General features: G+C 58.6%; 1 long non-coding RNA gene across 3 annotated transcripts in view, besides 4 other annotated features; it reads left to right on the top strand.

The window, feature by feature from the left end:
* MIR3667HG (MIR3667 host gene) overlaps positions 1-20,877 on the top strand; it is a 242,996-nt gene that overhangs the window by 18,980 nt on the left and 203,139 nt on the right. The window contains exons 2-4 of one of the 3 annotated variants that reach the window (NR_171025.1): positions 13,604-13,682; positions 13,859-14,093; positions 17,880-18,912. The exons of the other annotated variants lie outside the window; for them this stretch is intronic. This is a non-coding gene — a long non-coding RNA (MIR3667 host gene). Of the gene's footprint in view, positions 1-13,603; positions 13,683-13,858; positions 14,094-17,879; positions 18,913-20,877 lie in introns of those variants that run through there. 3 annotated transcript variants of the gene reach the window in all.
* Positions 4,798-5,389: an enhancer, noted in NCBI's record as "H3K4me1 hESC enhancer chr22:50026799-50027390 (GRCh37/hg19 assembly coordinates)". NCBI's record gives its function as "activates a minimal SCP1, AML or CMV promoter by ChIP-STARR-seq in naive H9 embryonic stem cells {active_cell/tissue: H9 hESC(naive)}" and the evidence as "EXISTENCE:reporter gene assay evidence [ECO:0000049][PMID:30033119]".
* Positions 5,390-5,982: an enhancer, noted in NCBI's record as "H3K27ac-H3K4me1 hESC enhancer chr22:50026206-50026798 (GRCh37/hg19 assembly coordinates)". NCBI's record gives its function as "activates a minimal SCP1, AML or CMV promoter by ChIP-STARR-seq in naive H9 embryonic stem cells {active_cell/tissue: H9 hESC(naive)}" and the evidence as "EXISTENCE:reporter gene assay evidence [ECO:0000049][PMID:30033119]".
* Positions 9,227-10,187: an enhancer, noted in NCBI's record as "H3K4me1 hESC enhancer chr22:50022001-50022961 (GRCh37/hg19 assembly coordinates)". NCBI's record gives its function as "activates a minimal SCP1, AML or CMV promoter by ChIP-STARR-seq in primed H9 embryonic stem cells {active_cell/tissue: H9 hESC(primed)}" and the evidence as "EXISTENCE:reporter gene assay evidence [ECO:0000049][PMID:30033119]".
* Positions 9,616-9,807: a silencer, noted in NCBI's record as "fragment chr22:50022381-50022572 (GRCh37/hg19 assembly coordinates)". NCBI's record gives its function as "represses an EF-1alpha promoter that drives an FKBP-Casp9 reporter gene in an ReSE screen in phorbol 12-myristate 13-acetate-treated (for megakaryocytic differentiation) K562 erythroleukemia cells {active_cell/tissue: K562(+PMA)}" and the evidence as "EXISTENCE:reporter gene assay evidence [ECO:0000049][PMID:32094911]".

Raw genomic sequence — 20,877 nt, 5'->3', positions numbered from 1 at the left:
ACTCCCCAAATCGACTGTGAAATCAGTTTTGAGTACCTTGAAAAATTTCTAAGAAGTTATGATTTTGACACAGAAAGTTAGCTAAATAATGCAGCAGGCTAAATCACATCTGGAAGAACTGAGAATTCGATCCAAGAGTCTAAACACTGAATCAGCAAGCGGTTTCTCTGGCTGTTCTGTGGCCTGTGTTTTGGGGGCACCCGGGGAGGTCTCAGAGGCCGCGGGGACCTGTCCTGTTGGGTGGTGTTGGATGAGGCTGGGCTGATCATTCAGGGAGCTGATGGCCCAGCCACAAGGGGCGGCCCTCACAGAGGATAAACTCGAGACCCAGGAAACGGCGAGAGCTGTCAGCGGGGAAAATCCGTGGCTGGAAAATCCAGGTGCCCAGACAGGGTTCCCGGGGCAGCTGCCCAGCAGGCAGCGGGTGGGTCTCGGAGCCTGGACTCTGGAGCCATGTGGCTTCCTTTGCATTTCTTGTGCGACCTGGGGCTTGTTCCTGACTCCCGTGGGCCTCCGTTTCTTCGTCTGTAAATTGGGGACACTGAAGATCCCTCCCAGGGTGGCTTCGAGGCTCCACTGGGGACACTCCTGTGGGACCTTAACAAGAGTCCGGGCAGGAGGCGCCGTCGTGGAGCCCATCCACGCTCTGCTTCTTGGCGTTAAAACATGACCATGGCTGGGCAAGTGGGGCCGTGCAAAGTTATCTTTAAAACATTTCATCAAAACATCGAACATTGTCTTGCTATTGGTTATAATGTATAAGGAAAAAGTAGTGAAGTCAATAGTGTAATTTAAACCCCTAGAACCTTGAGCACTAAACCACTTCGTTCCCTGTGGGACCTGCAGCGGGAGGCGTTAGAGCAGCGCTGCCTCCCCGTCCTGCGGCCACACAGAGCGCACTCCTCCCAGGCCCCGGAGCTGCCTCGCGTCTCCCCTGAGTGTGGCCCGGCCTCCAGCGTTCTGTCCTCAGCACCGTCAGTGCTGGGAAACATCTCCGAGGGCCTGCAGCGAGAAGGCGTCCAGGCCTGGCCTCACCCGGGGCAGGGCGGGTGCTCAGGGAAGGGAAGCCAGGCTGTGTGTATCCCTGGGAGGAGGCTGAGTGGGTGGGCTTGCCGCCGTGTCCCTGGGCTACACTCCTGGGGTGTCGTGGGGTGGGTTAGCTCCCGTGTGCTCCTGTGCTGGCAGCAGTGGCGGTGGGGCCCTCTTAGTGGCCCTCCCGGAGGAGGGTGCAGCGAAGGATGCTCCCGAGCTGCTCCTGGTTCTGAGGGTGCAGGCGTCCAGGTCGATGCTGTGCGAGTGGGCCTGTGTCTGCACTACCGCTCCCCCGTCCTGCCTCAGATTGGAAAGAGACGGGTGGTCCAGCTGTCTCTGCAGAATTCCCGTGTGCTACGAGCAAGGCATTGGTTTGTGGCTTTATCTGGTTTGTGTCCAGTGGGTTTTAATGACTGACCCTCTGCTTGCTGGGAGGCCTTCTGAACAGCAGCTTTGGAGAAGTCAAGAGTGGTCGTCCTGGGTCCCGGGCCCAGTGAGATACCAGGGGGTCCAGCTCTGAGGAATCCCCTGAGCCCAGGCCCCTGGCATGCGGCTGGAGGGATGTGGCTGGGCCTCAGGTGAGGCAGGAGTGGGAGGCGGGTGAGCCCGGGGCCAGCTTCACAGCCGGACATCCAGACAGAGCCCTGTGGACCTGCGTCTGTGTCAACACCGAGGGGCGGGTGGGGCGAGAGGGCGGTCACCGAGGGCAGGATTCTGGAAGCTTCTGGGCAGCGTCAGAGGTGCCTGTGATCATCACGGGCTTGGTTTGTATCACAGCTGCCGCCAGGATGCACTCAGCAGTAGGCCGAGGGTGCTGCCCAGGCCCGGGCACTCCTATGGGTGGGGACCTGGGCTGGTTCCTCCCCTGGACACACAAGCCCCACCCCCCCTTAATTTTTGCCTGAGGACCTTATTAGGGTCTTTAGGTTGTGAATGTGAGTCTGAATCCAAGTAGGGAAAAGCACTGTCCAGATTTTCTGACCCATGCTTTCCCGAGGAAGGAGGCCTCATGGGGCTTGGCTGCTCCGGACCCTGGGGGAGGCTGGGGGCCTCCCTCCCCCGTCGCCTTTGCAGGGTCCTGTGTTGTTGGCGAGGCATTCCCCACATTGCTGCGCTTCTTTGTGACCTTGCGTTTCTTTTGTGACCTCGGCTTCATGGGACCTTGCATGGTGGTCAGCTCCTCACTCCCTGGGGTGCAGAGGAGGAGGCTGAGGCTCTGCAGGGAGCCCCCTCCCCAGGGCGGCCCACCCTGGGTGGGGGTCTCCTCGCCCTCCATCCATCTGCATGGCTGGGATGCCCTGGATCCACCTTTTGTTCACACTCACTGCCTTTTCAGCTGGTTGGTTTTTCTTCTACCAAGGATATGTGCCCTTAAAGAAAATGGTCCCAGTGCAGAAGCAGGTGGTGGGCTCGCTGGTGCCTCGCCCACCTTCTGTGGACAGGACCTCCATGGCCTGCCTTAAGCTTCTGGGCAGGTGCGTGTGGACCCTAACCCCATTGCCCTGCGCCCCCACCTGGCTACGGGACCTCCCCTTCTGTCGTCCTGGACCCTCCCCTCCCCAGGCTCCCTCCAGAAGGTCCAGCCCCACCCCCACCCGGCTACAGGACCTCCCCTTCCCTCGTCCTGGACCCTCCCGTCCCCAGGCTCCCTCCGGAAGGTGCAGTCCCACCCTGCACCCCTCACCCCTGCAGCACCCCAGCCCCGCGGTGGACAGAAGCCATGGAGGTAAGCCGGCAGCTGTGCCAGCATCTCATTTCAGCGAGAATGCAGCTCAATTTGAGTAAAGCCACCGGCCAGGAATCCATACTTTCCCCATAAACCTCTGGGCTGGCAGATGTCAATACTGTCGGGATTGAGGTGCCATTCAGACGTCAGTCCTGTTTAGATGAAAATGTCTAATCAGAAAAACATTGGGGGCTTAGAAGAGATGGACCAAACAATTCCAAAACAATTTATCTTAGAAATTAATTCCAAGGAAAACTTTACCCAGTGGGGCTGAAGCTTTAAAGTTTTATTTTCAATTTATTAAAACCCTGACTCCTCGTGTTCTGCGCGAGTCTGGGCTGAGCCCTGGGTGGCTCAAAGTCAGCGTGCTCCTGGGTGGGATTCTCTGTCCCCCGATGGGATTCTGTGTCCCTGAGTGGGATTCTCTCTGTCCCCAGGTGGGATTCTCTGTCCCCCAGTGGGATTCTGTGTCCCTGAGTGGGATTCTCTCTCTATCCCCTGGTGGGACTCTGTCCCCAGGTGGGACTCTGTGTCCCCAGGTGAGATTCTGTGTCCCTGAGTGGGATTCTGTGTCCCTGAGTGGGATTCTCTCTCTGTCCCCAGGTGGGATTCTGTGTCCTCAGGTGCAATTCTGTGTCCCCAGGTGGGATTCTGTGTCCCCAGGTGGGATTCTGTGTCCCTGAGTGGGATTCTGTGTCCACGAGTGGGATTCTCTCTCTGTCCTCAGGTGTGATTCTGTGTCCCCTGGTGGGATTCTTTGTCTCTGAGTGGGATTCTCTCTCTGTCCCCAGGTGGGATTCTGTGTCTCTGAGTGGGATTCTCTCTCTGTCCCCTGGTGGGACTCTCTGTCCCCAGGTGTGATTCTGTGTCCCCAGGCAGGATTCTGTGACTCTGAGTGGGATTCTGTGCCCATGAATGGGATTCTCTCTCTGTCCCCAGGCAGGATTCTCTCTCCATCCCTGGGTGGAATTCCGGTGTCCCCAGCCACCCAGGAAGCTACACCCTCTATGTTGCACATCCCAGACACTTGTGCCACCCCGGGTCACCTTTGCTCTTGGCGACTTGTTCTTCAGCCCCCGTCACGACTTCCAGTGGTCGGCAGAGGCCCGTTGGCTCCTCCTGGGTCTCCACGGTGGCCCCGGGCGCTGTCCTGACACCCACGCCCTGAGCCAGATCCTTGGGTTGGTTCTCAGCATAGGCTGCCACCCAGTCTGAGCCGGCCCCTCGGCTGCACACCCAGAGAGTGGCTCTGGAGCCACAATGTTGCCAAAGAGCTGTGTGGCCTTGGGCAAGATGCCAAACCTCTCTGGGCTCCACTGGCGTTAGCTGTAAGGTGGGATGGTGGTGATGGTGCCCGGCTGGCAGAGCTGTGATGAGGATTAGAGGTGCAAGCAGCTCAGCTCATGGAAAAGACTCAGGGCTGATGGGTGGAGACACATCCATGGACCCCGCAGACCCTGCCAGGAGCTTGCACAGACCCCACCAGGAGCCTTGGGGGCAGGTTGGAGTGGCCCAGGTGCTTGGACAGCTCTGGGTTGGCAGCTCACTTGGAGGTGGAAGTGCTGGAGGAGGGGAGGCCCCAGATGTGCCCCAACCCCACCCCAGGCCCCGTCCCCAGCGAGGAGGAGAGTGAAGGGCCGTCGGCCCTCCCTGAGCGGGCACCTCCCACTCCTGCGGGCCTGGTGGTGAATTATAGAGAAAATGTGCTCTCGGCCTGACTGTTAGCTTTGAGCTGCTCTGGTTGGGAATTGAGTTTCTTAATAAACAGGAAAATGAAAAAAGTTTTGAGCTACTAGAAATTCAAATAAATTCTCAGTATGTAATAAATGGAGCTATCTGGAAAAATGAAAGAGAATTTGCTCCCTCAGACCAGGGGCCTCTTGCCTTAAACCTGAGTGACTTCACACATGATTCGGGGGGCATTTATTGAAATGGGGGGCAACTGAGCTGCCATCAACATTTGAAAAACACGGTGGGGCGCAGTGGCTCATGCCTGTAATCCCAGCACTTTGGGAGGCTGAGGTGGGTGGGTCACTTGAGGTCAGGAGTTTGAGACCAGACTGGCCAACATGGTGAAACCTGAATCTACTGAAAATACAAAAATTAGCCAGGCGTGATGGCGGGCGCCTGTAATCCCAGCTACTCAGGAGGCTGAGGCAGGAGGATCGCTTGAAACTAGGAGATGGAGGTTGCAGTGAGCCGAGATCGCACCACTGCACGCCAGCCTGGGAGACAGAGCGAGACTCTGTCTCAAAACAGCAACAAAACCCCCCCCCCCCAAAAAACCCAACAACTTGAAAAACGAAGGAAGGAAGGAAGGGACCTGGCTGTCATCCTTTTCTGAGATCCTGGGCAGTCCTCGGTGCCTTCCCAGGGTCCAGACTCCTTCACAGATTTTGAGGGCCGAAGGCTGTCTCCACCTCAGTTTCTGCTGCTGGCTCAGCGCCCTGTGGGCAGTGGGAGCCGGTGGGGGGATCAGAAAGAGCAGAGGAGGCAGGGAGGCCAGGACTGGGGAGGGACGCAGCTGCCCGTGGGCCGGACCCTGTCCCCAGCGTCTGCCTCCTGCGGGGTCCCCGAGGGCCCAGGGCTTCCTCCAGCAAAGGGAGGCCTCTTGCAAGGCCTGGCCTCCGCCCAGTGGCTTTGCAGGGATGGGGATTTTACTGCCACAAACACCAGAGCCAGGGATTGTGTTTCTCCCGCTGAGTGGAGGCTTCCAACCCAGCAGGTGTGACGCAGCTCGAGCGGGGACTCCAGGCCCTGGAGGATTCCTCTCCCCAGGACCTCTTGTGTGCAGCTGGATTGCTTCCCTCCGGTTCTGAAAACAGCCCCGCAGACCCCAGGCCGTGCTCAATGGCAATGAAACCCACTTCTGCTAAACGCAGGAGCGCCTATTTGGAGGAAGATTTTTTCCTTGAAATGATTCCAACTAATTTCATGCCTTTCGTGTAAGAATTCTTCGAACAGCCGTGGCCCTCCTTTCCTCCTTTGTTCCTGCAAACAGCTCTGTTTCCTCCCGAGGACCCGAGGCCTCAGGCCTCCCCCGACACCGGCTCCCTTGGCTGCCGCGTCCCGGCAGGTGGCGCTGAGCCACCGCCTTTCATGGCGACGGTGCTTCCCGCGATCGGGCTCGCTTAGATTTTCCTCTGACGCAACAATTTACAGAATCCACTGTTGATTTAGGGATCTGGGGAGCCTAACTTAAAATTAAGTAAATACATAAACCAGGGAGCCAGTGTCTTCCGAACATGAGCGTTCATCGGCACCTCGGTCCTCGGGTGAGGCCCGGCCCCGGCTGCTGCTGGCCGCTGGTGCCTGCCGGACACCCTCGCTCCGGGAGAGCAGGATCCCCGGCCTTGCGCGGAGCAGAGGGACGAAGGCGCCGCAGCCCAGGCCTCTCCCAGGGTGGTCTTGAGACACTTCCCAGACTGGACACGGAGCGGGAGGACCGAGACGCACGCCCTCCCTACGGCCTGCAGCGCCTGCCTGTGCAGTGAATGGAGGGAGGGGCAGAATCGGCTGGAAGCTGAGTGCATTCAGGGCAGGGTCCACACCCTGCCTGGCCCGAGGAGGGGCTGCTCCGATCTGGGAGCCGTACTCTGGTGGCTCGGGGAAGGAGTTGGGGGCTTTGCACCCAGTAAGAGATCTGCATCCTGGTGTGCCCCGAAACACGCGTGTGCCCCAAAACACCTGCACCTGGCGTGCCCTGAAACACGCGTGTGCCCTGAAATACCTGCACTCCGTGTGTCCTGAAACACGTGTGCCCCGAAACACCTGCACCCGGCGTGCCCCGAAACATGCGTGTGCCCCAAAACACCTGCACGCTGTGTGTCCTGAAATACGTGTGTGCCCCAAAACACCTGCACCCGGCGTGCCCTGAAACACACGCGTGTGCCCCGAAATACCTGCATTCCGTGTGTCCTGAAACACATGTGTGCCCCAAAACACCTGCACCCGGCGTGCCCTGAAACGCGTGTGCCCCAAAACACCTGCACGCTGTGTGTCCTGAAATACGTGTGCCCCGAAACACCTGCACCCGGCGTGCCCTGAAACACACGTGTGTGCCCTGAAATACCTGCACTCCGTGTGTCCTGAAACACATGTGTGCCCTGAAACACCTGCACCCGGCGTGCCCTGAAACACGCGTGTGCCCCAAAACACCTGCACACTGTGTGTCCTGAAATACACGTGTGCCCCAAAACACCTGCACCCGGTGTGCCCTGAAGCACACACATGTGCCCCGAAATACCTGCATTCCGTGTGTCCTGAAACACGTGTGCCCCGAAACACCTGCACCCGGTGTGCCCTGAAACACACGCGTATGCCCCGAAACACTTGCACCCCGCGTGTCCTGAAACACACATGCTTGTGCCCTGAAACACACACACACTGGGGTTCAGTCCCGAGGCCGGCTGGACCCTGAAAAATCACATATTTCAATTTATCTTCCAGAACTGCTAATTACAAGGACATTTTGGCACAAGAGTAATTATTTTTGCTTCCCAGTTAGCCCAGATCTTCAGGAGAAGGTGGGCCCGCGTGGCTTGGGTCCAGGGCCTCTGTCCTCAGAGCCAGGTGCTGTCCGAAGCATCATACCCACAGGCAGAGCAACCGGCCTCAGTTCAAATCTTCAGAGAAACAGAGAAGAGCATAGCACTGTTTCCCCAGAAGGATGCGTCCCAAACACTTGCCTTGCCAAGGAAGGTGCTCAGGGTGAGCCCCTCAGAGGGGCTGGTCCCAGCTCAGATGCACCCTGGGGCTTGTGGAGCTGTAGATGAGGCCAGATTCCTTCCCCACAGGAGTCCCTATAGGGCATGGGGTCATGGAGGGGCACACTGGCTCCTGCCTTCCCTGGGGGCTCCAGAGGAAGAGGGAGGATTAGCTGCTGACTCCTGGGCTTCTTTCTGGGAAGGAGCCTGTAGCTCCTCAGAGCCCATGGGGCAGCCCCTTGTGGGAGCTGGAGCCCCTGCGGAGGGTGCCCAGGGCCCACGTGGTGCCCGCCTACTCCTTGCTGGAGGGAGGCAGCTCTGCCCGTGCAGCTGCTGCAGAGGCCTGGGATAGGCAGCTTCGTGGAACCCAGACCCCATCCAGGGAAGAGCAGAGTGCTCAGGGCCCTCATTGTTACCCCGTCTGTGACCTCGCCTCCCAGGGCTGCTCCTGACTGTCCCAGCACCCGCTCGTTCTGGGCCCTTCTCCCGGGTGCGTAGATACCCTGGTATCTGTCCGGCGTCCCCACACTCCAGCTCCGATTCCAAATCCTCCCGCTGAGTCTGCGCAGAGCTTGGTTCCCTGAACTCCTCCCCCCAACACCCAGGCTTCTTTCTGGTCTTGCCGGGGGTGGTAGTGGGGGGCTCCTCCCCAAGGGCCAAGGGTGCAGCCATCCCAACCCAGACTCCCCTCCCACCCCTCCAGGTTGTGGGGCACGGAGCCTTGCTGAGCTTCCTGGGAACAGGGCCCAGGCCCCGGCCACTTTCCCGGGAGCTCAGAGCCGCTGGTCTCCATCGGGCTCCGGGCGTGACTACCAAGGCTCGTGGTGGACGTTTCTGTGGGGTGGGGCTGTGGGCAGGGGGATTGCAGAACTAACCCCACCCTGAAGGGACAGGGACTGGTCTGTGGCTCGAGGTCTCCTCTGGGGACTGAAGCAGGGAGGAGGCCTGGCCAGCACCTGCCCTGTGGACGCACAGGGGCCGCGGGCATTACCACCCTCTGTGGCTCAAGGGCCATATGTGTGTCCAGCAGAATCTAAGGGGTTGGAGAGGCTGCCTGGAGCTGGGCCAGGGAGAAGGCTCTGGAAACAGCACATAGGGGATTAAAGCCCTGCCCGTGGGCCTCACAGGCCGGAAGGGATGAGCTCATGAGAAAACAGTAGATCCATCTGAGTGGCCCAGCAGGGAGCCCACGCCTCCACCTGCCAGGGTGGAGGCTCACACATGTTCTGAGGCTGGCCAGCCCTGCACCCCAGCCTCCCTGTTCCAACCCAGCCCTGCACCCCAGCCTCCCTGTTCCAACCCAGCCCTGCACCCCAGCCTTCCTGTTCCAACCCAGCCCTGCACCCCAGCCTCCCTGTTTGAACCCAGCCCTGAACCCCAGCCTCCCTGTTCCAACCCAGCCCTGCACCCCAGCCTCCCTGTTTGAACCCAGCCCTGAACCCCAGCCTCCCTGTTCCAACCCAGCCCTGCACCCCAGCCTCCCTGCTCCAGCCGAGCCCTGCACCCCAGCCTGTCTGCTCCAGCCCAATCCTGCACCCTAGAATCCTGCACCCTAGACTCCCTGCTCCAACCCGGCCCTGTACCCCAGCTTCCCTGCTCCAGCCTAGCCCTGCACCTCAGCCTTCCTGTTCCAGCCCAGCCTTGCATCCCAGCCTCGCTGCTCCAGCCCAGCCTTGCATCCCAGCCTCGCTGCTCCAGCCCAGCCTTGCACCCCAGCCTCGCTGCTCCAGCCCAGCCTTGCACCCGAACCTCGCTGCTCCAGCCCCGCCGTGCACCCCAGCCTCCCTGCTCCAGCCCAGTGCTGTTTGTTCTGTGACAGGGTCTGAGAGGAGCACGGACTCTCCCCATTCTCTGCCTCCTGCAGGCTCAGTGAACAGGGACCCACACAGCAGCCTCCAGTCCAGCCCAGGAGGCATTGCTGGCTCTGGGTGGGGCTCTGGGACCTCCAGCCGCTGCCCATCATCTTGCTCTGTGACCTCCAGCCGCTGCCCATCATCTTGCTCTGTGCTCCTCCCACTCACACAGCGGAGCCCCCCACATGGAGCCCCTGACTCTCCCAGAGAGCCTCACGCTCTGGAGCCAGGGCTGCTGTCATTAAGACCTAGGACTAAAATTTGGCAGCAATTAAAGGTGTGCTTGCTGCCGTCCACCCACAGCTGTCAGGCTCCGCCAGAGGCCGCGCGCCTCCTGGATGCATGCACAGAGCTGCCCCTGGGAATCCTTCATTAACTCGAATTACGGAGTAAGTCTCAGCGCTTGACCCATGACCCCTGCCTGCCTGCAGAGAAAATGAAGCATTCAGTCCTAATTAGGAGGCCTGGAAGGCGGGGTGGCCTTCCCTGCAGGGAGCTGGCCTCCACCACCCAGATTCCTGAGTGCATCAGTTCAATTAGGAGGCGTCTCCAAAACACACTCAGTTGTTTCTGGCAGCAATGTGTCCGGTTGGCAACGACGCTTCCTGTATGCACAGCCGGGGCGTCATTGGGTGGGTGCCCTTAACTAGGCCATTGTCGGAGCTGATTGCAATTTGCTGAGTGAGGATGAGCATGGGAGCCACGAGCGCAGACGACAGTGGCCGCCCTGGAAGGCAGTGATGGGGGGTGTTCCCACAGAGGGCGAGGTCTGGAGGACTGAGAAGGACTCAGTGCCACCTGCAGTGCTTGAGGCAATGCTCTCGTTTCAGGGGGTGTCCGGTGCAGTCAGGGGGCCGGGGAAATAGGAGCAAAGATATTCTGGGACAAAGGGTTTGGCTCAAGTTAAAGGAAATGCTACACTTAGGGTCCCCAAAAGTGAGAAGCCAATTTACGACCCAGCTGCCTCTCATCCTGGAGACTTAAGCGGCCGATTCTCTGTCGGGTGGCAGATGTGGGGGTCCCTGCCTGTAGGAGGTCTGTGGGCTGATCCGAATCCTTTCCATGAGTGTCAGAGTGGGCGGTGTTCCCTTTGTCCCAGCCGGTCCCAGAGCCGGGAGCCGCGGTCCTGGAGTCATGGGTGGGCCGACTACAAGGGGCCCCCCTGCCTCGCTCCCATCCATTGTGCATCCTGGGCCCTGCCTGGGGCCTGGAGTCATGGGTGGGCCGACCGTGAGGGCCCCCCCGCCTCACTCCCATTCATTCATTCTGCATCTTGGGCTCTGCCTGGGCTTTTGTACCCAAACAGCTGCATGTGCCATTTCCCTGTCCCTTCCCTGTGAGGGCAGTGTGGTGACATTGCTGGGCTGAGGAGCCTGAAACAGGACAGGAGCCTCCCAGAGACCTGGGCAGCTCAAGCCGAGCTTCCTGCCTCTGCCTCCTCTGGGATCTGTGAGCCTGGTTGGCGTGAGGGCTTCATCCCCCACTGAGAGAACCTGGAAGGCCTCCTCAGCCACCTGCCCCTGAGTTCCCTGGCAGGGATGACCCATGTTCCTGGGCGGTGCCCGGGGTTGACCCGACCATCCCTCCTGTCTCCAGCTGCCCTGTCTCGTGCCCTGTTGCCCATTCTCTGACTCTCAGCTTTTCCTCTCCAGCCCCTGGGGGGGCACCCCTGCCCTGCCTTTGTGGGGGTCCCGAGCCCTGACTCATTCTTTCTGAGATTCCAGCGGCGGGCGGGACCCTCGTCCAACAGTCCCCCAGGGATCCTGTATGTTCGCCTGAATTCCTACCTGCCTGGGAAAAACTGGAAAGGAAACCGTTTACATCCAAAACGTACAGTTTGGAGTGGAGCCTGTGGATGGAGCCCCCTGCATGGAGCATGGGCCCCTGGGTGGATCCCCCTCTGCACGGAGCGTGGGCCCCCCGGGTGGATCCCCCCCTGCACGGAGCGTGGGCCCCCGGGTGGATCCCCCCCTGCATGGAGCATGGGTCTGTGGATGGATCCCCTGTGCACGGAGCATGGGCCTGTGGGTGGGTCCCACCTCATCCTCGCTGTGGATGGCCTGGCTGGGTGTCCTCGTCCCCCACCCCTGCCCTCCTGGTGGGAGGAACTCCCTCCTGTCTCCTTGGTGTGGCCGGGCTGAGTGGTGCTGCCTGACACTTGCCTTCCGTCCGCAGGAGATGTTTGAGAAGGAGCCTGTGTCAAAGTGTAGGCATCAGATGAAAATTTACCTTCTTGTTACCTATGTAAATGGGCCGGGCTCCACGAAGTCCTTGGCTGAGAACGGTGCCACTGACCGACTGAGCTCCCGATCGTTCTGAGAGAGGCTTATGTGCACAGTGGACGTGGAAGGCTTTGATGATGTTGGTGAAACTCTCTCTGGTGAGCTGGGAGGCAGCCTCGCCATGCCCACCTCTCCGACCTTGCTGTGGATGGGTCACAGGTGATCCCACTCTGCTCAGGAGGAGCTGGCCCCCCAGCCTGACATGACCACACCCTGGTCTCCCCACCCTGCGCCTCAGTGGGTGGGTCAGGCACATCCAAGCCCCTCCCCTCCTTAGAGGCTGGACCTGGAGCCGCACTGCACTGTGGGGTCAGCTCCCACCATGCTGCACAGGCAGGAGCAGACCCCTCCAGATGGTGCTTTCAGGCCCACGGCTCTGTGGCAGGGAAGCCCAGTGTCTCCCTGGGATGGGCCTGGGCCACCACTGCAACCATGTTTAACAACCGCAATGTCCCCTGTGCAGCCAAGGGGGGTGCCGGGGGTGGGTCCAGAGGTCTTGGGACAGGGGCAGGAGACAACAGGGGCTGGGGAGACCCCCCAGGGTGGGGTGGGGTTGGGGGCCCTGCTGTCAGGCAACACCCATTCAGGATTGCTAGTCTCCCTCCAGGGGACTGACCCCTGATCACCACGCAGTGCCCCTTTTATCCCTGATACTGGTCCTGGCTGGGATTAATCACAACTCCTGTGTTTTCCGTTAGTGTTAGCGTGGTGTATCATTCTCCAACCCTTTCTTTTCATCTATGTGTGTCTTTATATTTGGAGGGAGCTTCTTGTGGATGACATAGAGTCAGGTTTTTTTTTCTTTTTTTTTTTTTTTCGAGGAGTCTCTTTCTGTCACCCAGGCTGGAGTGCAGTGGTGCCATCTCAGCTCACTGCAACCTCCACCTCCCTGGTTCAAGCGATTCTCCTGCCTCAGCCTCCCAAGTAGCTGGGACTACAGGCACCCGCCACCCCACCTGGCTAATTTTTTTTTTTTGTACTTTTAGTAGAGATGGGGTTTCACCATCTTGGCCAGGCCGGTCTCAAGCTCCTGACCTCGTGATCCTCCAACCTCAGCCTCCCAAAATGCTGGGATTACAGTCGTGAGCCACCGCACCTGGCCCAGTCTCTCTCTTTTGATGGATGCACGTCAACCCCTGACTTCTGAAGCGACCATCCACATAGCTGGATTCCTGTTGGCCACATTGGTTACTGTTTGCTGTTGCTCGGTCTCTGTTTCTTTTTTTGTCTTCCATTCTTTTTCTGCCTTCTCTGGTTTTGATTGAGAATTTTGTATGATTTCATTTTCTCTCCTCTCTTAGCAAATCAGTTACACTTCTTGTTTTCTTTCTACTTTTTTTGTTGGTTGTCATAGAGTTTGCAATATACATTTACAGTGAACAGAGAGGTTCACTTTAAATAGTGTGGTGCCACGTCACAGGCAGTGCAGTTGCCTCATGGCAGAGTGTTCCAATCCCTTACAACTTTGGTGTCATTCATTTTACTTATCCATAAGCGATAATCGCCAAATATGTGGTTACTATTATCCACTTCTCCATTTCTCCATTTATTTCTCCATTTATCCGTTATTTCTCCTTGACTTTAAGAAGATAATTTAATTGGGTACAGAATTATAGGTTGTTGGTTTTATCCTTTCAACACTTTAAATGGATACAAACGGTTTATGGCTTGGGTTAGTACTAAATGTGTAGCATCGGTGGCTCAGAAATGTCGCCCCAGAAGGCACTTCCTCTGGTGGGAACAGGATGGGAAGTGGGCCAACAGGGAGAGGGTCCTAAATGTGGGAGCAGGGATGGGAAGTGGGCTAACAGGGAGAAGGTCCCAAAGGTGGAAGCAGGGATGGGAAGTGGGCTAACAGGGAGAGGGTGCCCAAAGACCTCACAGCAGAAGGTTCCTGGAGTGAGGCCTGGTGCCCAGGCAGAGATTGTCCCAGGATGGCGCCGTCAGCCCGGCGTCAGGGTGGCCGTTTGGGGGCTGGTGGCAGCTTTGTGCTCCTGTCTGCAGACGCTGTCAGAGATGGATTGGGGACAATCCTGCGGGGAGGTGCTGAGGAGGGCAGCTACGACAACTGGCCCCACACCAGGTGGGTGTCATCAGAGGCAGCTGTGATAAATGGAGGGGCGAAAAATATATTTACAACTGGGCAGTGTCCAAGGCCATGAGATTTATGTTCCTCTGGTCTTGGTGGCCTCCTGCGTCCCTGAGGGCTCTGGAGGGAGCCTGGCCGGCCTCATCAGTTTTTTGTGCTGCGTCTTCCAGGAAAAGCTGGGGGCCGCTGAGCCCAGGCCACCAACGGGAGCTGTGGACCCAGCCTGACCCCTGGACCGAGGTGCTTTCAGGGCACAAGGGGGATGCGGGAGCCTGTGGCTGCTGTTGCTTCTGCTCTCAGTTCATAAACGCACGCTGTGCACATCCCCTGTGCTTGGCAAGGGGCCTGGATAGAAGGGCCAGTGAGGAGATGCCCATCCTCCAGGCACTGTGCCTCCTCCCAAAGGTCAGCACCCCGAGCATCACTGTGCTCTCCCCACAAAGGTCAGCAGCCCCGAGCATCACTGTGCCCTCCCCTCAAAGGTCAGCGGCCCCGAGCATCACTGTGCCCTCCCCACAAAGGTCAGCACCCCGAGCATCACTGTGCCCTCCCCACAAAGGTCAGCACCCCGAGCATCACTGTGCCCTCCCTCCCAAAGGTCAGCACCCGGAGCATCACTGTGCCCTCCCCACAAAGGTCAGCACCCCGAGCATCACTGTGCCCTCCCCACAAAGGTAAGCACGCCGAGCATCACTGTGCCCTCCCCACAAAGGTCAGCACCCCGAGCATCACTGTGCCCTCCCCACAAAGGTCAGCACCCAGAGCATCACTGTGCCTCCCTCCCAAAGGTCAGCAGCCCCGAGCAGGGCCCTGGGGAGAGGCCAGGAGAGTGGAGGATGGGAGGGAGAGTCGTAAGCGAGGGGCCCGGACTTGAGTAGGGTCTGGGTGGCACTTGAGGGTTTCTGCGAGGTGGACTCATGGGCGGGAGAGCGGCATCCCCAGGCCCTGGGAAGCTCAAGGTGCCAGGAGTCCTCGGAAGGGGCGCTACATCTGTAGGGGGCCTGGCTCTCGGTTGCGGCCCCCAGGCATGGGACCAGCTTGCTCTCAGGCCAAGGGGAGAGGGGGCAAAGCGCCCACAAGGCCAGTGTCTGTGACCCTGTGTCCCTCACCCAACGTGGGACCTCCCAGAACCTTCCTCCAGTGGCACCAGTGACCGGGGGCAGCTTTGAGGTGGTGGGAGATGATTTAGAGCAACAGTGGGCAGTTTGCCTACAGCCACCTGGCTTGACACACTTGACCAGGTCACCACAGATGTCCCTGAGCTCTGCAGCACGTGGGTCCAATACAGATGTGGCAGGTTTGTCTGTTGGGGAGTGGCCTGGCTGGCAGCTGTGGGGAGAAGGCCAGGACGGGGCACAGCAGAGGCCTCACCTGCCCAGCGGGGGCTCTGGGGCTGGGGTGGCTCCTCAGAGATTGCCCAAGTCCAGAGCTTGCATCCTATGCAGCCGTCACGGGGCACAGGGCCCCTGGGTTACTGGCAGGTCCGTCAGCCATAGCCACTGCCCCATCCAGGGCCTGCTGGATTTGCAGAGGCCAGACTTGGGAACTGACTGGGGGAGGACCAGGCCCCTCTGCACCCCTCAGGATTTATGTGGGGGCCGGCCTCTGCCGTCCACCTGGGGCGTGACAATGCATTTGATTCACTGTCTCTCTGTGTCACTGTCTCTATGTCTGTCTTTATCTCACTGTGTCTAGGTTTCTGTCTCTCCCACTGTCTCCCTTGCTCAGCTGGGTGGGAAAGGGACATTCTGGAAGGTTCCACATGGTCTTCCCTACAGGTCAGGACAACTGGGCTATTCCAGTGACGTATTGGGGATCTGGGAAATGACCTCTGGGAGTTCCGTGAGCTCCGTCTGGAAGGTCCCCATTCATTTCCCGTTCCCTGCTCTGCTCTATGGGGGCGCGGCGGGGCTGCAGTTCCCTGATGCTGGCGTCTGCTCTGTCCCCAGCCCACTGCCCTGACCGTTTGGACAGACCCTTCCTCCCCAGCGCCCCTTGGGAGGGCCAGGGGGACCCTTGCCCAAGGCTTCTGTGCATTTAGGGTTCTTTCTTCCCCTCTCCTGTCTGGATTCTGCATCTGGAACCTGCCCCAGGGGGGAGGCTGCGTGGGATGCTGGGTTTGCTGGGCAGCTGCCTGTGGCCCCAGCCTCCGTCTTGACTGCCTTAGTGGGGTGGGTGGAGCTGCTGCCCACCTCTCCTGCCCCCGGGGCTTGGGTGCTACCGGCTTTCACTCCCACCTCTGTGGGGCAGGCCCCGGTACACCACTCAGTCTGCTGCTCAGCCCCACAACGGCCCTGCCTTCCTTCTGACAGTCAGGCCCCCTTCTGCCATCAGGGGCCCGGCTCTGTGATGGTGTCTGGCCGCCAGCCCTGCCCACACCGCCCGGCCACCCCAGCTTCCAGGGAGGCTGCTGCTGCCCACTCTTCCCAGTGGCCAGTGCAGGGTCTCCTGGGCCCCCGGGAGCAGGTCAGCCGGCAGTGTCCAGCCTTACACCACGCCTACCAGCACGGTCACTTCTCAGGGCCTTTGGTCCCCGGCGTGGGCTGAGCTGGGCTCTCGCTCTCCTGCGTCACTGGCATTGCTTATGTGCTGTGCCTGTCTCCCTTGACGGCTCTCAGCCCTGCAGGACCATGGACGTCCCTTCCCTCTCTCAGCAGGTACCTTCTGGAAGATTCCATGTGGTGCACTTCCAGGGACAGGCATGTTCAGGAGCAGCTGGGGGCAGGCCCTGGGGTGGGGAGGTGTTACCCGAAAGGTGGGACCATGCATGGCCCCTAAGCCGGGGCCTCCAGCTTAGAAGGCTCAGAGCAGGGCCTCCACCACCTTCCCCATCCTGAGGCCTGGGTCCCCGTCCTTCACCACCCGGGCCTGGCTGTGGCCCAGCAGGTCTGGTGTGCACGGCGTCTGCCCTGTGGCTCTGCGGTGCTGGCCGTGGCCTGAGGCTGGGGTTCGGCTGCAGTGCTCTTTGTGCAGGGGAGGAAGAGGAGGGTGCCCCAGCGAGTGTGCACATTCATCCAGCATTTCGGGGTCGACCTGACCTTGGTGGAGGTGGCTGGTTTTCGCTGAGGGCATTTCCTGAGGATTCGGCTGCAAATGAGTGCCTCCGCTCCTGGCAGCCCTTGGTCTGGGGAACCTGGCATCCACCGTGGCTGACCTGTGTGGTCGGCCGGCCGCTGTGGGGCTGTCAGTGACCCAGCTAATGACAACTTCAGCCAGATGCCTATTGCCTCAAATGCCTGGAGTTCGCCTTCCTTCTCCTTTTTGATTAATATTTATAATTAGAATTGATCAAAAATACGGGTCATGTTCACAGACTAGAACCACGCCCGTGAGGATAGCTCTGTGACCGGGCCATGGGGAACACACACAGACAGCAGCTTCCCCAGAATCCCCCGAGGGCCCACAGCCCCGACCTGGCTCTTTCCTCCCTGATTTTCCCCCAAAGGGTGCAACAATTCCTGTTTTCCCAGCTCTGCAATCTTTCCCATCTATCAAATGGGAGTTAAGATGCAATTACTTATTTATGAATGAAATTAGAAGAGGCATATTAATAAATTATGTGAATCCATTTGTTTCTAAAAATATGATGGAGGAATTAGTTGACATATTAGAAATGCTGTGATTTTTATATTGTGATTACTTGTTCTTTTAAAGCAAAATGCATTTTAAACAGCTTAGCGAATTGTCTAATTAACCACTTTGTTTACATAAAAACATGCCTGGAAAGCGGGGGGAGCTTGCCTCTGGGATTAATGGGAACAGTGGGAAAGTTCTTGACAGGATCTCTACCAAGGAGACAATTCCTGCTGAACAGGGAGCAGGTGCTGGGGTCAGTGAGTTTGAGCCACGTTTGGTGTGAGCTCTGTCAAGGCTCAGTTCTGCGGCACTAGGGGCCGGAACCTGACTTGTTGTCAAGGTGTTTCTCTTGTTGTTTGGGAGAAGTCCCAGGTAAGCAGCATTTGTGCCCCTCCGGCCACAGCTCCCAATGTGAGCAACGGCCCCCCGTGAACTTCTCCTTTCCAGCTCCTTCAGTCTCAGGGCCTCACGCGTCTGCGACCTGCCTCCTCCACTCGGAAGCCCGTGGGCTTCCTGGAGATGTTCTCAGCTCCCAAGCACAGCCTGGGAGGCAGAGAGAAGCCACACTTTCATGCATTCAAACTGAGTGAAGCTCTGTCATGTTCTGGGCACCAGGAAAATCTCCATGATGCCAGCAGGCGTGTCCACAGAGGAAGGGGCGAAGAAAATGTCGAATGGACAGGCGACCTGCATCCTGCCCAGCTCGGAAGAGGAGGACGTCCTGAGATTTGCCACAGCCTGGAGGCGATTGCGCTCGTGACAAAAGCCAGACACAGAAAGACAAATACCACGTTCTAATTTGTGCATGGGAGCTAAAATAGTTGAGTTCATAGAGGCAGAGGGTGGGGAAGGGCTGGGCAGGGGGGAACTGGGGAGAGGTTGGTCGAATGGCACCAAGGCTCACTTGGGAGGTGACAAGCTTGGGACAGCAGGGTGGCCGTGGTGAAGGAGAACGTGTTGGGTACATGGATTTGCTGTGACCTGACCTCAAGTGCTCTTGCCACAGAACCCAGGTGCTCCCTGCTGGAAAGCCACACGCGGCAGAGGAGAGCTGGCAGGAGGAAAAGCGGGTTCGAGTCAGCAGCCTTTGGAGACGGCAGACTGAGAGTGTCACAGAGACCATCTCAAGTCTGCACGAATTCCAGGCTCTTTTATGTTAAGGGCAGGGGGACGGGGAGGGGGTTGGGATCAAGAGGTGACAGGTGACCGCACACATGTGGGTGCCAGCGAGGGTCCGAGGAGGCTGGCGATGCCTTCGTCCTTGGTCAGGTCACGAGCACCTGTGAATCCACAGCAGAACAGCTGTTCACAGCTTCCCCTTTCATCCCGGAGTGAGTTTCAAAACCTGCATCACGACTGCCTCTGTGTATTTTCTCCGTCCTCTAGAAGATCCTAGGCTCCGTGCAGGAATGGGTGAAGGCCCCTTACACAAAAACAAAGTCAGGTCCTGAGTTCTTTTGCTGTTTCTTTGCTTTCTCCTGCAAAGTCACTCGAAAGGTGACTGGCGGAGGTGAGGCTGCGCTAATTAGCTTGATTGTGGTGACCCTTCCACAAAGCACGTGTATGTCGGCATATTCACTGGGTCATGCACCTCGAATACATATTTTTACTTGTCAAATACATGATAATAAAGGAAAAGAAAGAAAAAGACAGAGTGGAGCCTGCCCCCGCCCCGTGAGGAGCTCGCTGCCTTGATCCTTCCTGGGAAGCGGGTGCAGATGCAGGGGCGGCCCCTGGACCTGCCCTGGGTCTGGGCCCTCCTATTGCCCTGTGAGGCCACCCCTGGGCCTGGTGCTCCGTGCACCCCTGCGTTCTCTGGGCCTTTGTCCCTCGTCCAGGGCCCAGGCTGAGTCGAGGCTGCCTGCAGCCAGGCGCCTTCCGTCATGTGCACATGTGCTGTCTCAGCTGCCTGGGTCAGTGCCTGAGGAGTAGAAACTACCCAGGAAATCCTGCTTGAGAAGCTGCGTTCAAAGTGGCTCTGTCCACCGAGCACACGGCATGTGGACTGCACGTGGCCGCCTAACTCAAAAGCCCCCAGAAAGCCCACGCCAATGCCCAGGTTCTGAGAAAACCTCAGGTTCCCTCTGTCCTGGGGTATGGGGCATAAGATGCCTTCGAGTAGACATGAGAGGCTGGTCATGTCAAGTCCTCCCTCTTCTGACGGCTGGTCACTCCGTCACCTTCTATTCTCCGATGGCTGGTCACTGTCTTCCTCCTTCCTCTGATGGCTGGTCACTCTGTCACCTTCCATTCTCCGATGGCTGGTCGCTGTCTTCCTCTTCTGACGGCTGGTCACTCCGTCACCTTCTATTCTCTGATGGCTGGTCACTGTCTTCCTCCCTCCTCCGACGGCTGGTCACTGTGTCCTCTCTGCACTGGTCACTGTGTTTTTCCTGTATTGGTGACTCTGTGCTGCCTGCACTGGTCACTCTGTTGTCCTCCCCCTCCCCGCATCTACAGCCCCAGTGAGTGCTCCACACCTGCCTGAGCCGAGCCTTGCTCTGATGGTGCCGCATAACCAGGATGTGGCCACAATCACCTGTGCCCCGATGACATCCGGCCCATCCGTCACCCAGGCCTGGAGTTGGGGCAGGAGGTGACTGGTCGTTTGTATTTGTCACAGCCTTTCCCTTTCTCCTGTCCGTGAGCCGTGCTCCAGGATGGGAGCTGTGGAATTCCCGTGGAACAGCCTCATGATGTCACAGGTTCCCTGCATCGTGGCTGGCAGAGCCCCGCATGCACCAGACGCCTGGTGCCTGAGTTTCCTCCTGGCTCTGAAGCAAGAAGCTGCAGCCTCTGCATTCTTTGGGTGGAGCTTCGAGCTCCTTGTGAAAGCTCTTGGGACCCCTGAGACTGCTCCCCCAGGCGCCGCACTCAGCCCTGGATGTGGGTTGAGAAGGAGACAGTGGTGAGAACAGGGATGCTGTGGGCTGGGGGCCCGGGGCTTGCGCTGGGGGTGGCAGGTGGGCAGGAGAGGAAGAGCTGTGGGGATTTTAGGCTCTCAGGACTCTGCATGAGGCGGCTCCCCTGCACCTTCAAGCCAGCATGGCTGGTCGAGAGGGCATGTTCATCAGACCTGCAGGCACGCACGTTATTCTCGGGATGTTCAGGGATGTGTGGGCTGAGAAGGGGCTCCGCATCCTCCTGGTGGGTAGGGCTTGGGCCGTTGTGGTGGAGGACATGGTACGTGTGATGCTTCTGCTGTCCGGGAAGGCAGGGGGCAGGCAGCATCCCGGGGGAGCTGCTCCAGGAACTGGCTTCTTGGCTTCCTGCAGTGGTGGGGGCTGCTGTGGGGATGGCCTGTGTGTCTCAGACACCTGGACTGTGCACTGAGGCCTGGTGTGGCTGTTGCAGTCTTTGAGGACTGGAGTAAAGCCCCCCGCTTCCAAGTGAGCCTGGAAGAAAGACCCTGAAACCCCCCAGGCATCAAGGGTCCCACAGTGGAAGCCTAGCAGAATGACAAACCGGGAAGGAAAGGGCTCGCAAAGGTGACAGACCTGATTTTAATTCCTCTGGACTTTAATGTTTCTGAACTTTAAATTGCAAGGGAACTTAGCATTTAAACCTTAATTTCTCCTTAAAATTTTTGTAAGGGGAGAGAACGCCTGCATTC

The sequence above is a fragment of the Homo sapiens genome, chromosome 22 (assembly GCF_000001405.40).
Source record: "Homo sapiens chromosome 22, GRCh38.p14 Primary Assembly".
Classification (NCBI taxonomy): Eukaryota; Metazoa; Chordata; class Mammalia; order Primates; family Hominidae; genus Homo; species Homo sapiens.
Note: the sequence above shows the minus strand (reverse complement) of the source record. Positions and strands in the feature narration are given on the sequence as shown.